The 15,742-nt window shown below is 45.1% G+C and overlaps 1 protein-coding gene across 7 annotated transcripts in view; it reads left to right on the top strand.

The window, feature by feature from the left end:
• Positions 1 to 15,742, top strand: part of RNF152 (ring finger protein 152) — an 86,346-nt gene that overhangs the window by 26,658 nt on the left and 43,946 nt on the right. For 2 of the 7 annotated variants that reach the window (XM_011525879.3, XM_047437349.1), the window contains exon 4: positions 15,561 to 15,740. The exons of the other annotated variants lie outside the window; for them this stretch is intronic. The gene's annotated coding sequence lies outside the window, so the exon portion shown is untranslated. The remainder of the gene's footprint in view (positions 1 to 15,560; positions 15,741 to 15,742) is intronic. 7 annotated transcript variants of the gene reach the window in all.

Below are 15,742 nucleotides of genomic sequence, written 5' to 3'. Positions count from 1 at the left end.
ATTGCTGGTAATATCTAGGTTTATCTGATGCTGAGTTTATAGTCAGAATTGTATCCCAGGATGGTGAGGCCGGCGATGTGGAGAGTTCAGCCTGGTTTACATACGGTTCACCCTGGGTTGGGGGTTGCCATAACAGTTTCATCAATAGTGGGTGCTCTCCCTCCTTAAAATGAAAAAAATAAAAAACAAAACAACCAAACTCCTTTCAAATATCTCTTTGCCCCTGCTCCCCCTCCTCCCAGGAAACAACTATAAAAACCAGACTGAGCTGAAGATTCAGTTTGTCATCTCTTTTTTTTTTTTGAGATGGTGTCTCACTCTGTCGCCCAGGCTGGAGTGCAATGGCGCAGTCTCCTCTCACTGCAACCTCTGCCTCCCAGGTTCAAGTGATTCTCCTGCCTCAGCCTCCCGAGTAGCTGAGACTACAGGAGCATGCCACCATACCCAACTAATTTTCTGTATTTTTAGTAGAGATGGGGCCTCGCCATGTTGGCCAGGCTGGTCTTGAACTCCTGACCTCAATTGATCCACCTGCCTCCCGAAGTGTTGGGATTACAGGTGTGAGCCACCGCACCCGGTCCCCAATCTCTTTGTATTTGCCATGCATGGGTAACTCTTGAGTTCCCACCTCTTGCTGATTTAAAATCTGCCACAGGCTTTCTTCCTACTTCAGCTGGCGAGCATCTAGGTGTTCTCCTCTCACTTGATTGCAATGTTTGATGTTTGGTGAGAAAAAAAAATTCCTGATGTGCAGTGTTTAATAAGCCCACATAAGGCCCTTCCCATCCCTCCACCCCAGCTTATAAGGGATCTAACAGTCATTTTGGGACAAGCCCCTAAGTCTGTTTTTTTTGTGTTGTTTTGCTTTTTAAAGTTTCACTGATGATTTGCCTTAATGCATTCCTTGGTGCCAAAGCTATGGGCTGTCTTGTCATGTGCTGCTCAGCGGTGGGGACAGCGGGCAAGTAGGGGAAAGCCAGAGCTGCTGCTTTGAGGTCACACCCCCGGTGTCACCACCAATGTTGGGAGGAAGTAGTGAATGGTTGATGAAGGGATGAACATGTCACTGTAGGAGCACACAGCAGGGAGAGGAGACATGGAGGAGAAGCACAGGGAATACCATGTGCAAGTAACTGATGGAGATAGAGGGCAGATGGAGGGCATAGGTTGGATGAGGCTGGAAATGTAGCCAAGTCACCAAAGGATGCGTAGGCCCTGCTGGGGTGTGTGGCCTCACTCTTGGTACTAAGGAGCCATGGGATGGCATGATCAGGTGGCTCAAAGCACAGAAACGCGGGCGAGAGTGTGGATGTGAATCTTGTCCTCGCAGATTCTCACTCTGTAGCTTGGGGTAGTGTTTGAACATCTTTGCTGCCAGCTCCTGGTGTGTAATAAGAAGACAATGAGGGTGACTTCCTCAAGTTGTCCTGAGGATAAACGAGTCCCCGTGTATAAGGCATCTGGTGGGGAGTAGCCATCCGTGGGGCTACCTGGGCCCGACTCGCTGTCTAGAAGCAGTAGGTTGGATGGTTGGTATTGGGGAGAGATGAGAGGCAGGGAGAACCTAGTTTGCTGGGCTTTGTGATGATTTGGGCAGGGGTTACCACAGGGGGTGGGGCCCTGTGCCACTCAGCCCTCCAAATTCCCTTGGAGGTGGGAGTATATGGCCAGGAATATTCCTGCCTGTTCCTCCACGCAGACATAAGAATGAACCCAGGCAGTGGGAGGAATAGACCTGAGAGAAATTTTAGGAGGCAGAATAACCAGGGCTTGGTGAAATTTAAGAAGCCTTATATCATCTGTTGGACAACATGATGACTCTAGTGCCTGATTGTTCTAACAGGGAGATATGTAATTGACACTCAGCTGACTAGCCTTCCTTGCAAACTAAAAGAAAATAGGCATTTAAAAAAATGTTTTTGAGCAGATTTTTTGTAGGTTTCTTTGGGGATTGGGACAGCTGTCATGGGAATATTTGCCTTCAACTTAAAGTGAGTTTCCTTGGAAGTCCATTGGGCTCTATGTCTAAACTCTAATGTTCAGAAAATTCTTTTCTGAGGTACAAAGTATTAGTCCATTGTGAAACTCTCTGTGGCAACAGAGACTCTAAACTAAATTCCACAACGGGATGGAAGCTGCTAGCAGGGGATTATCTAGTACTTGGATTTAGGAAGTTTGCAAAAACAATTCAACAAAGTCTATAAAGGCAATGGGGGACAAATAGTATTGCGTTTTTTGTGCTGCCAACCAGGTTTGTCACATGGATTAGTAATTTAGATAGGAACAGCCATGAATCACTGCTTAGAGTTTTATATTTAATTTTATCCTGGAAGCAATCTCCTTTCAAATTCTCAAGCTGTAGTTATTAATGAATTAAACATTATGAAACCCAGAGAACTACTAATTCATTTTGAAATAAGTAGACATTTAAATCTGAAGAAGAAACCTTACATTTTTTCAGTAGGGTTTAATATTTTCAAGCTGACAAAATGTGGCATGGCATTTTGTAGATATGGTTTCCCCAGAATGATTATTGGTAGGTATCCAAGTATATGTGCCGGACAATTTGGCTGCAGGTTCTAGGGGTATGATATTGTGATATAATAAGAAATATATATATTTGGTTTTCATCCTCCATTTCCTGGTACTGAGCTCCTAAAACCCTTGTAATTTCCTGGGTGATAGAGGTTAGAGGAATATCTTTTGTTTTTCATCATAAACTCCTTTTTTTTTTGAGATGGAGTTTCCCTCTTGTTGCCCAAGCTGGAGTGCAATGGCACGAGCTCAGCTCACTGCAACCTCCGCCTCCTGGGTTCAAGCGATTCTCCTGCCTCAGCCTCCTGAGTAGCTGGGATTACAGGCACGCGCCACCACGCCTGGCTAATTTTTTGTATTTTTAGTAGAAACGGGGTTTCACCATGTTAGCCAGGCTGGTCTCAGACCTCAGGTGATCCACCTGCCTCGGCAGGCGTGAGCACTGTGCCCGACCATAAACTCCTTTCAACCATACCTTGGCTTATGCTAATGAGATGACTCTTGGTGGGCTCTTAGCTGGCCTCAGAGTGCCAGCTGGTCGCCAGAGGAACCAACTCTGTGATTAGAGGGTTGTGACTTTCAGCCTCATCCCAGACCTCCTGGTAGGGAAGAAGGGCGAAAGAGGGAGTTAGTCCCCAGTGGGCAATGATTTAATCGACCATGTCTACACAGCGAAGCCTCCATCAAACCCCTAAGTGACAGGGTTCTGGTCGGTGAACACTTTGAGGAGCTGGGGGAGGGTGACGCCTCCCAAGAGGTCATGGAAGCTCTGTGCACCCAATCTTGCCCTGTGTATTTCTTCCATTTGGCTGATCTGAGTTGTATCTGTTATCATAAACCAGTAATAGCCATAAACTGTTCCTGAGTTCTGCCAGCCATTCTCACAGAGTTCTGCTAGCCGTTCTCACAAGTTACTAAACCGGAGAGGGGGTTGTGAGAAACCCCACTGATAGCCAGTCAGTCAGAAGCACAGGAGGCCTGGGACTTATGCTTGGTGTCTGAAATGGGGGCAGACTTGTGGGGCTGAGCCCCTGACCTGTGGGGTCTGTGACTCCGGGTAGTTAGGGTCAAAATGGAATTGAATTCTGGGACACCCGATTGTTGTTGGAGAGTTGGAGACTTGGTTGTTGAGGTGGAAGACACCCATGTGTTTGATGTCAGAAATGTTCTATGGGTAGAAACAGATTGTGGCTGTAAGGGGCAGGAAAGATGAAGTCAGGTTCTCCTGATGTCCAATGACTGGGTGTTTTTCAGAAAGAGAAAGATTAAAATACATGGAAAAGGCAGCCGATTAGAGCGGGAGCTCACCACCCAAGTTCCTTATCATCAGTGCTGTTCAGCTTAACCCTTTCAGTCCTGTCCTTACCTTGGACACCTGCCACTCCGCCCTGGCTCTGACTTCCTTACTCTTGTCAGGTGTTGCTTTGGGGAAGAGATTTGTCCAGTCATCAGATGTCCTCGGACATTAGTGTGTAATGCCCCCACCTCTCAAGCACTCTTCGAAGCCCAGAATCAGGAAAACGCACTTTGTACAGCATGCTAGTTGAGGACAGGCCATACGGTTACACAGGATTGCTTGAAGATTGAGAAGCACAAAAGGAGACAGAATGCAAAAGCTGAAGCCTTGGCTTTTCCAGCCTGGAAAATGTGCTTAGTTTTTTCCCCAAAGATATTAACTATTTCCATGTAAAAAGTCAGTAGAAGAATCTACAGATTGTGTCTACAGTGATGTTACCTGAACAACTGAAAAAAGTCAAGGGGCTACTTTTTTTTTTTTTTTTTTTTTGAGACGGAGTCTCACTCTGTTGCCAGGCTGGAGTGCGGTGGCACGATCGCCGCTCACTGCAACCTCCACTTCCCAGGTTCAAGTGATTCTCCTGCGTCAGCCTCCCGAGTAGCTGGGACTACAGGCGTGTGTCACCACGCCTGGCTAATTTTTTTGTATTTTTAGTAGAGATGGGATTTCACTGTGTTAGCCAGGATGGTCTTGATCTCCTGACCTGCTGATCCACCTGCCTCGGCCTTCCAAATGCTGGGATTGCAGGTGTGAGCCACCGCGCCTGGCTAAGGGACTACTTTTCAAGAGCAAATGTTTTACGGGCAACACATTTGGTTTGTTTTGGACATGGATGGCTGCCAGAACCTTTGGTTAACCTGTCTTCAAAATTTTTTTAAGATAGTATTTTGGGCTGTGTGTAGGGAAAACTCTCTGTTTTTTCTTTGTTCTCACACCACAACAATCATCAGCACACAAGTAGAGACACCAGCTGAGTATCCTCTAATTCAGTTCCAACAGTGTCTACCCAGAGATAATGTCAGAGCCCACTGATTGAGGGCTCAGTCCCCAAGACTGCCCCTACCCACACACCAATGATAAGTCTGGGCCTCCTCGGAACTTCTGACCCACCAGCTTCAAGTTGGGGTCCCCAGAACCCCCGCTTTGGCTTTGATGAATTTGCTGGAGCGGCTCACAGAACTTGGTGAAACCCCTACTTATGTTTACTGGTTTATTGTAAAAGATATTGCAAAGGATACCGATGAAGAGACACGTGGGGTGAGGGGTGGGGGACAGGGTGTGGAGCTTCTATGCCCTCCGTGGGTGCCACCCTCCAGGAACCTCAGCATGTTCAGCTGTCTGGAAGCTCCTTGAACCCTGTCCGCTTGGGTTTTTTTACCGAAGCTTCATGACACTAGCATTCCTGTCCCCAGGGCACAGGGTGGGATCCCCTCATGGAGGGTCTTAAGCCCCTCAGTCAGAAATCTTCCCTCCCACCTTTTTGAAAGCCTCTTGCTCTTCACCTCTTGCTCTTGCTTTGTCAGCTGAAGTTCTTTTCAGGATGGTCATCTCCTCTCTGGGCAGTCCCTGATCCAACTGAGCCTTAGTTTCCTCGTGTGTGAAATGGGAATGAGAATTTTTGCCGCCTCCTCTGCCACACACATTGTCATGAAGATTAAATGAGGTGGTAGACATGAAAGTACTGCATCTAGTGCCTTTCTGTAAGCATAGGAGGCAGAGAGGAGATAGGGGGGTCAGGATGGAGGAGGCAGGGCTTTGTATTAACATGTAAAAAGGGAGAAAAAAGCCTCAATTCCTACCTTTTCCCACTCATGGTCCTTCCCCAGCTTAGGACCTGAATTAGAATGTCCAGCTTCTTCTGGGAAGGAAGGTTCTTCTGAGGGCCTCAGGGAGTTGTATTCATTTTTCCAATTTAACCAAGCCACTGTGTTCCTTAGTGGTATAGTTTGGGTGTCTGAGCCCTCCAAATCTCATGTTGAAATTTAATGCCCAATGTTGGAGGTCGGGGCCTAATAGGAGATGTTTAGGTCACAGGAGCAGATCCCACTTGAGTAGATGAATGTTCTGTGGGTTGGTGAGTGAGTTCTCACTCTATTAGTTTCCATGAGGGCTGGTTGTTACAAAGAGCCTGCCTCCTCACCCTTGCTTCCTCTCTCACCATGTGATCTCTGCACATGCCAGCTTCCCTTCACCTGCTGCCATAAGTGGAAGCAGCTTGAGGCCCTCGCCAAATGCCGAGTCTTGAACCTTCTGGCCAGTGGAACTGTGAGCTACATAAACCTGTTTTCTTTATAAATTACCCAACCTCATGTATTCCTATCTAGCAACACTAAATGGACTAAGACACTAAGCGTAACATGTACAGTCATGCCTCACTTGATGACAGGGATATATTTTTAGGAATGCATCTTTGGGTGATTTTGTTATGTGAACATTATGGAGTGAGTACACTTACACAAGCCTAGGTGGTGTAGCCCAGTACACATATAGGCTATACAGTACAGCCATTGCTCCAAGGCTGCAAACCTGTACAGCATATTATTATACTGAATACTGCAAGCAATTGTAACACACACAATAAGTATTTGTTTATGCAAACATGGAAGAGATACAATAAAAATATTGTATAAAAGATAAAAAAGGTACACCTGTATAGGACACTTAGCATGAATGGAGCTTGCAGGACTGGAAGTTGCTCTGAGTGATTCAGGATGTGAGTGGTGAGTGGATGTGATGGCCTAGGACATTTCTGTACACTACTGTAGACTTTACAAACACAGTACACTTAGACTACACTCAATTTATAACAAATAGTTTTCTTCAATAATAATCTTAGCTTACTGTAACTTTTTAACTTTATAAATGTCTAAATTTTGTTTAACTTTTTGACTCTTTTTTAATAACACTTAGATTAAATCACAAATATTATACAACTGTACCAAAATATTTTTCTTTATATCCTTCTTCTGTAAGCTTTTTTTATTTGTAAAATTAATTTTTTTCTTTTACCTTTTAAACATTTTTTGTTAAAAACTAAAACACAAATACACACATTAGCCTAGGGTTACACAGGGTCAGGATTGTCAATATTACTGCCTTCCACCTCCACATCTTGTCCCATTGGAAGGTCTTCAGGGTAATACACGCATGGAGCTGTTATTTCCTGTGACAGCAGTGCCTTCTTCTGGATACCTCCTGAACCACTTGCCTGGGGCATTTTACAGTTAACTTAAAAGAAATAAGTAGGAGTACACTCTAAAATACTGATAAAAATATAGTACAGTAAATGCAGAAACCAGTAACATAGTTGTTAATTATCATTATCAAGTATTGTGTACTGTACATGATTGTGTGTGCTAGACTCTTATGCAACCGGCAGCATGGTAGGTTTCTTTACACCAGCCTCACTATCAACATGTGAGTAATGCGTTGCAGTGCAACAATGCTCTGATGGCTGTATCACCAGGCAATAGGAATTTTCCAGCTCCATTATAATCTTATGGGACCAGCATCTTCTATGTGATCTGTTATTGACCGAAACGTTATGTGGTGCGTGACTGCATTTTCTCTTTGCTATTTGGTGCTGCTTCTGAATCGGGAGGGTTTTATGATTCCTCAGTTGCTTGCTTCCCCCTTAGATGAGTTTTCTAGGGCTGCCTTAACCAAGTAGGTGGCTTCAAACAACAGAAACTCTGTCACATTTTTGGAGGCTGGAAGTCCACAGGCATGGTGTCGGCAGGCCCATGCACTTCTGAGACCCATGGGGAGAACCCTTCCTCCCTTCCCCAGCTTCTCGTGCTGTCGGCAGTCCTTGGCATTCCTGGCTTTTGGCTCCTGTCATCACATGGCTGTCTCTCCTTGTGAGTCTTTTCTGAGTCTTTTCTGTATTAAAGGACACTAGTCATGTTGGATTAAGGGCCCACCCTGCTCCAATATAACCTCATCTTAACTAATGACATCTGCAGTGACCCGTTTTCCAAATAAGGCTACATTCTGAGATACTAGGGGTCAGGATTTCTTTTCTTTTCTTTTCTTTTCTTTTTTCTTTGAGGTGGAGTCTCTGTTGTCCAGGCTGGAGTGCAATAGTGTAATCTCGGCTCACTGCAACCTCCACCTCCTGGATTCAAGCCATTCTTCTGCCTCAGCCTCCTAAGTAGCTGGGATTACAGGCGCCTGCCACCACGCCTGGCTAATTTTTGTACTTTTAGTAGAGATGGGATTTCGCCATGTTGGCCAGTCTGGTCTTGAACTCCTGACTTCAAGTGATCTGCCCGCCTCGGCCTCCCAAACTGCTAGGATTGCAGGCATGAGCCACCGTGCCCGGCCTAGGTGTCAGGATTTCAAACTATCTTTTTGGGAGACACAACTCAACCCATTCCCCTGCCCCACACAGGTGGGTGATGCTCCTTTTCTCTGCAGCTTCCAGGCCCTTCTTCAAGGGCAGCATCTCCTGCTCTGCATGGGAATGCAGCTCCCTGACTCTCCGGAACCCTTAGCCTTGCAATTATGTCTCTGACGCATGTGTTGGGAGCCCTGGGAACAGTGTGTGAAACTGATGCGACGTTTCTGAAGCACGTCAAGTTTGAATTTGCGCCACAACAGCCCTCTCACGCTCTGTTGCCTGTTTCACTTCAGTCAACTAAGCCTGAAACTGAGGGGCTTTGATGGTACCCGTGGGAAGGACAAAAGTCCTTCCAGTTTTATTTGAAACAATTGGTTTGGTCAGAAGTACTGAGGTGGGAATTTGAGCAAGTACATACTTGTCCCAGTCTGCGAGGTGGAACAAGTGCATAGTGGCATCTGAATGGTGGTGATGACTTGTAGGAGCCACCAGCCCTCGTCTATAATACAGGGTCGTGGCTGAGGGACATCAGATGGGCCCATGTGGGTTAGAAAGGGCCTCCTTCACCCTCCTGTAATTGGATATTGACATCACCCGGCGCGTAAGAAACATGGAGTTTCCCCAAATATGATTTATACAGTAAGAACAAAGCCAGGGGACCCCAAATTTAGTTTTTGTTTTGTCTCAGGCTTGCTGACCAAACTTAAGCACATCTCCTATTAAAACGGGATCTCTGTTTTTGTGAAAATAGTGAAATTTGCTGCATCATGATGTCTGCAAGGCAATTAATAGGTTGCTGAATGCAAACTGCTGGCAGACCTCAAGTAAATAGCCAGGGGTGATGATGGGGATGGCCACTCTCCAGCTTCTTCTCCATGGAATATAGAAGTTTTAGGCTAGGATGCAGGATTTCAGTAAGAACAAGGCCAGACCTAGGAATGAGTACTGCGGACTGGCTTGGTGGGAACCCTGAGTGGAAGTCGACCACTGGGGGAAGTGGAGGGGCTGCAGTAGAGTTGGGGCCCAGGGCATCCTTCAGGGTGATAGGTTGGAATGTGAAGTCTAGGGAGAAGGTATCGGGGGAAATATTTCTAGAGGTGGCTGGATCTTAGGGGCAGATTCCTCATCCTAGGGTATACGGTTGCAGGGGAGATAGGTCCAGAGAGCTTGGGGGAGGGAAGGGCTGGCAGGAATCTAACAAGTGGCTGGATCTCAGGGACAGATTCCTCATCCTAGGGTATATGGTTCCAGGGGAGATAGTTCCAGAGGGCTTGGGGGAGGGAGGGGCTGGCAGGAATCTAACAAGTGTCAGATTCAAAGAGCTAAGGAATCAAGAAAGCACTCAATGTCACAGAGCTCTGGGCAGGAGGTCACAGCCGAGCCCACAGTCAGTGGGACCTGGGTGGAGTCCCAGAGAGTTATACCAAACTACCTAAATGTCTCTACTAAGTTTAGGGCTGGTCCTGGAAATTGGGGTAGAGGGTTTGCATGTGGCTGCAGAGGGAGATTTCAGAAGGACAGACAATTGTCTTTTTCAGCCCCTGCTGGGGTGGCTCTGCTTCATTTATTTTAATAGATTATAGCAGAGGAGACCCAAACGTAAAGCTAAACCCATCCCCACTACCTCAGATTGACTAGAGTTGTTTTTTGCTCCTGTTGTTATTGTTTTAGTTGTCTGATTATTTATATAATCACAAGGCAAATGTGTTATTTTGGAAAATGCTCTTGAATGTAGATGTTTATACACGCCAATGACAAATTTACTTTAAATGACTATTGATTAACAGGACTGAGGCTGAAAGATGTTTTGTGATAGGCTATTATCCAAAACTAGAATGACCAAAAGCCCACAGTTTTTGTTTGTTTGTTTGTTTGTTTGTTTGTTTAATGACTGGTGAGTCCCTGGAGGATATGGAACTTGTGTTATCTGCTACTTTTGTGTCCCTGTATCGTCAGAACATGGCGATGAGATGGAAGATGTGGTCATTTAAAGGAAGTAACAGTAGGTTTGAAGAAAAATTATAGCAATAACAACAGATTGTGGGGAACATTCTCTTGCCTGTTGCTGTTTGAAGAGAAAAAGCCATTTTTATGGCTTTTGAAAATTTGCTTCATTCTGCCAGGATTCAAACTAGACTATTCTGAGGCCCTAAAGGTTCTAAAGCAGTTCCAAGGCAAAATATTTGATAGCTTTTAGTATAAAAATTGTTTCAGTTTCACCATGAAAATAAAATCATGTGGACATAGTGTGTGGTTTCCAGAGCAGGCGTTGAAGATCTGGGCTTTTGACATGAATTGACTTTGGACAAATCATTTAATTTCCTTAAGTCTCAGTTTTCTCATCTGCAAAATAGAAAAGTGTCTGCACTTTCTCCCTGTTACAGTGTTGGGGATAATGGAGACAGAGCTTGAACCCTGACGTATAATGCAAGTCAGGGTAGGAATTATCAGCACAAAGTAAAAAGTGAGATTCTGTGTCTTTTATGCCTGTTCCCCTGCCTGTATTTTAATTATATTCACTCTAGAGTTTTGACTGAATAATGCTGGTTTCTCCTTGTTTTACTACTTAATTAATTTAAAATGTTGCCCTGGGTAATAGCTCTGTATCTAAATGAGGGCTATTAGAAGAGGAGGGATTGTGTGTACAGATGCTTGTAAATAACGCTTAGGTGACACTATTGTGATAATTATGGCTTTTTGAAGATGAGCTTTATAGCTAGTCCTCAATTTTCCTGTCGCTTTTTTCCTGGGCTCTCCCACTTCAGTGAGCACATTTGTTACATGGAGCTAGCTGTTCGGGGAACTGAATCCCCAGAGATGTCAGCAGCTCTGTGAATCCACTTTTCATTTTCTGTGCCTAAGTTTGCAGACCCTCAAAAGTACAAAAGATTGCTCGACCACCCCTCCCCCAACCCCTCACCTCTAGTAAGGATGTGGAATGAGTAAGGACAGCAGAAAGAAGGGGTATCAAATCTAAACACTCCAGTTATCAACTCCCAGGAATAGCCATCCTTGGATCTGAGTGACCTGGAAGGTGATGCTGGGTCCTTGGTGGCTAGAAGGGTCCTAGCTATGACCCTTTATATGGGATTTGCATCTCAAGACTGTCTTCCCATCCCCTCCCTTCCTTTCTGTGCCTGTACTCAGGGCTAGTGCTGAGTGCTAGAGCTGCCATGAAAGAAGTAGGCGCTGTGGCAGATGAGTTCCCAACAGGCATCTTTAAAATTAACTCTTGGGACCCCCAGCCTTGTAGTGTTCCCAGGACAGGAACCCATCGTGTATTTCCCCGTGTCATTTTCCAGCTTATGTTTGTTCTCCAGCATTTAGTTTTCAAGAGTCTTTGACATTGGCTTCATTGTCATCGCTTTACTCACCAACTCAATTAGAATCTCATTTCAGATAGAAATCAGCCAGTGAATTTTGTTAATGGAGCTTTTAGAAGCTTTTAGAGTCAGAATTGGAAAAGAACTTGGAAGGTCATCTCATCCAGCCCTCTCCCCTTGCAGATGAGAACCCTGACACCCAGAGAACTCATGTGACTAGGATAGTGAGTTAGTGTCAGAGTCAGGACTAGAACACAGAGTTCTTTAAGTACCTGGTTGTAGGGAAACATGGCGTGGTCAGATTAAAGTATGTGGAGTAGTGAATACTTAGCAGGTGTACTCTCTTTCAGTTTACTCAGTTTATTTTTGAGGCTTTTGTCACGGGATCCTCTGGGAGTCACCAGCCGGAAACCTCTGTGGCCAATGGCACCTTCTGCCTGGGTATTGCTCGTACCTGCTGGGCTCATTCTGTCCACTTGGCCTGGCTAGCTGCGCTCAGTTCATGCTACCAGCCCAGATTCCACACCTGCCAAGGGCGAGCCAGACGTGGAGTGATGAGATTGTGTGGTGAGCGAGTGTGGGGTCCAGCCACTGTGCACAGCCAGGCACACCAGGGGCTGCAGCGGGGCAGGCAGCTCCAGGCGCTGGCACAGGTGCTGGCTCCATGCGAAGCTGCAGCTGCACCAGATGCACTGCACGTGGCTTCTACTGCGGGCATCCACATCTGGATGAGAACACGGTGGCACCCAGAAAGTTGGAGATGCGAGGAATTGCAGAGCCCCAAAGGGGGTGTCACAGCCCTGGCTCGAGGAGCCCCTAGGTAAGGGCTATGGAACGCACAGTCCTGGCTGCGCCTCCCCCACTACAGCTGGCGTCCCTGCAGTGGCTGCTCCAAACAGGCCGCTTCTGCCATCACTATGATATCATCAAAATAATGAATTACATGAACCAGAACTTCCTGATTTTATTAAACTTTTAAGGTTGACTCCTGGTAAACCAGAATTCTCTTACAATGACATCCTTATTGAAAAGCTTTACAAAATGCATTGTTTTACTTTTCTGAATTAGTGACCACAATTGACTCTTTCTTAGATACTGGGGAATCTTGCTGTCCTTCAAATCCTTCTTCCCACTGGTTATAATTGTGTAAGATAATAGCTTCAGAGCACAGCTTTGGCATGAACACAAGCCAGCAGTTCCCTCTCCCCACCACCATTAGCTTATTTAAAATATAATATTTAGGTTGTTTGAATTCTTCCACATGACCTTTAAAAGCCCTATTGCTGGTATTTTGTAGCATTTGAGACAGTCTGTGAGTTATCTGTAGTTCAGGAAAATCATGTAACTTGCTGCTATTATACCAGTTGCATTTTGATGTGACATTGATTTTTTTCCGCCTGCTATTTTCACGTCAGGTTGAACACAGACATAGGCGAAATATAAGCTTGGCAGCGAGCTTTGCTTGGCTTGTTTACTTCTCTCATTGTTGAAGTGGCCATGATTCAGCACTGGGTTCTTTTCTCCCTGATGTGCTAGTGAAAGGAGAGAGAGAGGAAATTCCAGGTTACCAATAGCAGTATGACCATCATAGTAGAAAACTGAAAATTGTAGTCACTACCTTCTGATTACCCCAGCTTAAATAATACCTCGTTCAAAAGATGACTAATTGAGGCTCCAAATACCACCTCCCAGCCCTCTTTAATTCGCTCAGTTGAGAAAGAGGAAGAGGGGAAGAAACTATGGAAAATCATTGAGAGGATGGTTTCCTGTGTAATTTTGAATAGATTGTGTTGAACATGGAAGACACCGGTGTTACCTATTGTGCGTTTCCTTTAAGGCTGTTGCTGTGTGTATGTCTTAGCAAATTCAGATTATTTTGCACTCTCAAAACTGAGAGCTTGCTTTTTTCCCCCATATACTTTCTTACATGACCAGTCTCTTAGATGGTTGTGACATTGTAGTCTGTATAATGAATTCCTGCCTTGGTGGGCTTTCTGGTTCCTTTGAACCTTAGGGAAAGGCTTGGTTAGTTTCCATTTGCTGTGCATTGGCTGAGAAGCAGAGATAACTGAGTGAAAGGAAAAACACTTCTTGTTAACTGTATAGTGGAAGCTTGGAAAAGAAAAAAATATTGCAAACATCACCTTGTCACGGGGAGTCAATAAGCAGTGGCAGAAAGAACGTGGGGCTTGGAGTTGTAAGATTAGGTATCAGCTTGGCTCATTTCCAGGTGTGGACCTGGGCAAGTCAACCCTGGACCTCAGGCAACCTTGAGCCTGAGTTTTCTCAGTTGAAAAATGGGCAGGTGGGCAGGGAGGATGGGCACAACAGGGGTGGCGATGTTTGCCTTACTCTGTGGTGAATAATGGACCCCAGAGAAGTCCTTGTCCTCATCCTTGGAACCTCATCCTTGGAACTTGTGAATATGTTACCTACATGGCAAAAGGGACTTCAAGGAAGTGATTAGGTTAAGGATGTTGAAATGGTGAGTGTATCCTGAAATATCTGGTTGAGCCCAATGTAATCACAGGGGTTTTTATGAAAAAGAGGTAGAATAGTCAAAGTTAGTGGTAGGAGATATAGTGACAGAACAACAGTAATGTGAGGAAAGGGCTCATGAGCTGGGGAATGCAGGCAGCCACTGGCAGCTAAAAAAGGTAAGGAACCGGTGAGGTGCGATGGCTCAGCCTGTAATCCCGGCACTTTGGGAGGCCAAGGCTGGCAGATCACCTGAGGTCAGGAGTTCAAGACCAGTCTGGCCAACATGGTGAAACCCCATCTCTACTAAAAATACAAAAAAATTAGCTGGGCCTGGTGGCATGTGCCTGTAGTCTCAGCTACTCAGGAGGCTGAGGCAGGAGAATTGCTTGAACCTGGGAGGCAGAGGTTGCAGTGAGCTGTGATCGTGTGCCATTACACTCCAGCCTGGGTAACCTGTCTCCAAAAAAAAAAAAAAAAAAAGGGCAAGGAACCAGATTCTCCCGTTAGAGCCCCCAGAAAGAAACAGCTCTGCCAACACCTTCGCTTTAGCATGAGGAGACCAATTCAGACATCTGGGCTCCAGACCTATAAGATAATCAATTCATGTTGCTTTAAGCTGCTAAGTTTGTGGTAATTTGTTACAGTGGCAGTAGGAAACTAATAAACTTGCCTATCCCAGTTCTTGTAGTAGTTAAATGTGACATTGTATCTTACATATTTATACAATTTCAAAGTGCTACATAGATGTTACCACTTTTTAAATGGATCTTTTTATATTCATCTAGGTTTCCAGGTTGTGATTAGAATAAGTCAGGAAGACCAGGAGAACAATAAAAAGGGCTTCTTAATTAGGCAGTGAACAGATTGTGTCTGAAAATGTTAAATCCATGTTATTGAATACTTCTTCATTGTGAAATTATTCGTGGCCATTAGTACCTGTGAGGCACTTTTTAGGGGAGCAGGCAGGTGTGTGCCTTATGTTCTGTAGCTGTGAGTCTCAACCTTGTATGCTCAGTGAGTCACCTGGAGAGCTTTTAAAAGTCCTGATGTCCAGGCAGCACCCCCAAGACAATTGAATCAGAACCTCAGGAAGCCAAACCACAGCACTGGAATTTTTTAAATCTCTCCAGGTGATGGAAGTTTGCAGCTAAGGTGAGACTCACTGCAGAGGTATTGTGTTTGCTGAATAAGATTATAAATCAGTTTCTCTTTGAAGACTGACAATCTAGATGTTCTTTTGAGTTTTGAGAGAAGTGGGTGGTCTGTTGAGGACTCTGTCTTACATCTTTCAATGATATACACAGATCAGTGTATGAGCGATGCTGTAATTGTGGCAGGAAATACAAAAGTATTTATTACCCAACACTCTTGAGTATGTTCAGCACCACAGATTGGTATGTCCTGGTGGCAAACACATTTTCAATCAGCCAACATTTTTCTCCTCTTGTTGCCCAGAGGTTTTTAAAAAAGCAGTAGTGAGGGGAGAAAAGGAAGATGTCTAGGCCTTTTCCTCAAATGGGAAAGTCCCTTGAGACTTGAGGAATATTGTTTTTACTTCTGTCTTATGTCCTTATGTTTCCAGTTTGGAGGAGAAATAATCATATTGGAATGTTTTCCTTTGGAACCACTGTTTCCAGAAGCCACGGTTTTTGAAAATTGCCATTGCTGCTGGCCTCGTCATATTCCTGGGTGTTTTGAGAGCACATGTGCCCCCTGGCTGGCTCTGAGCTGCCTGTCACTGAGAGCACCCTGGCCTTTGACAGT

This window comes from Homo sapiens, chromosome 18 (assembly GCF_000001405.40).
Source record: "Homo sapiens chromosome 18, GRCh38.p14 Primary Assembly".
Classification (NCBI taxonomy): domain Eukaryota; kingdom Metazoa; phylum Chordata; class Mammalia; order Primates; family Hominidae; genus Homo; species Homo sapiens.
Note: the sequence above shows the minus strand (reverse complement) of the source record. Positions and strands in the feature narration are given on the sequence as shown.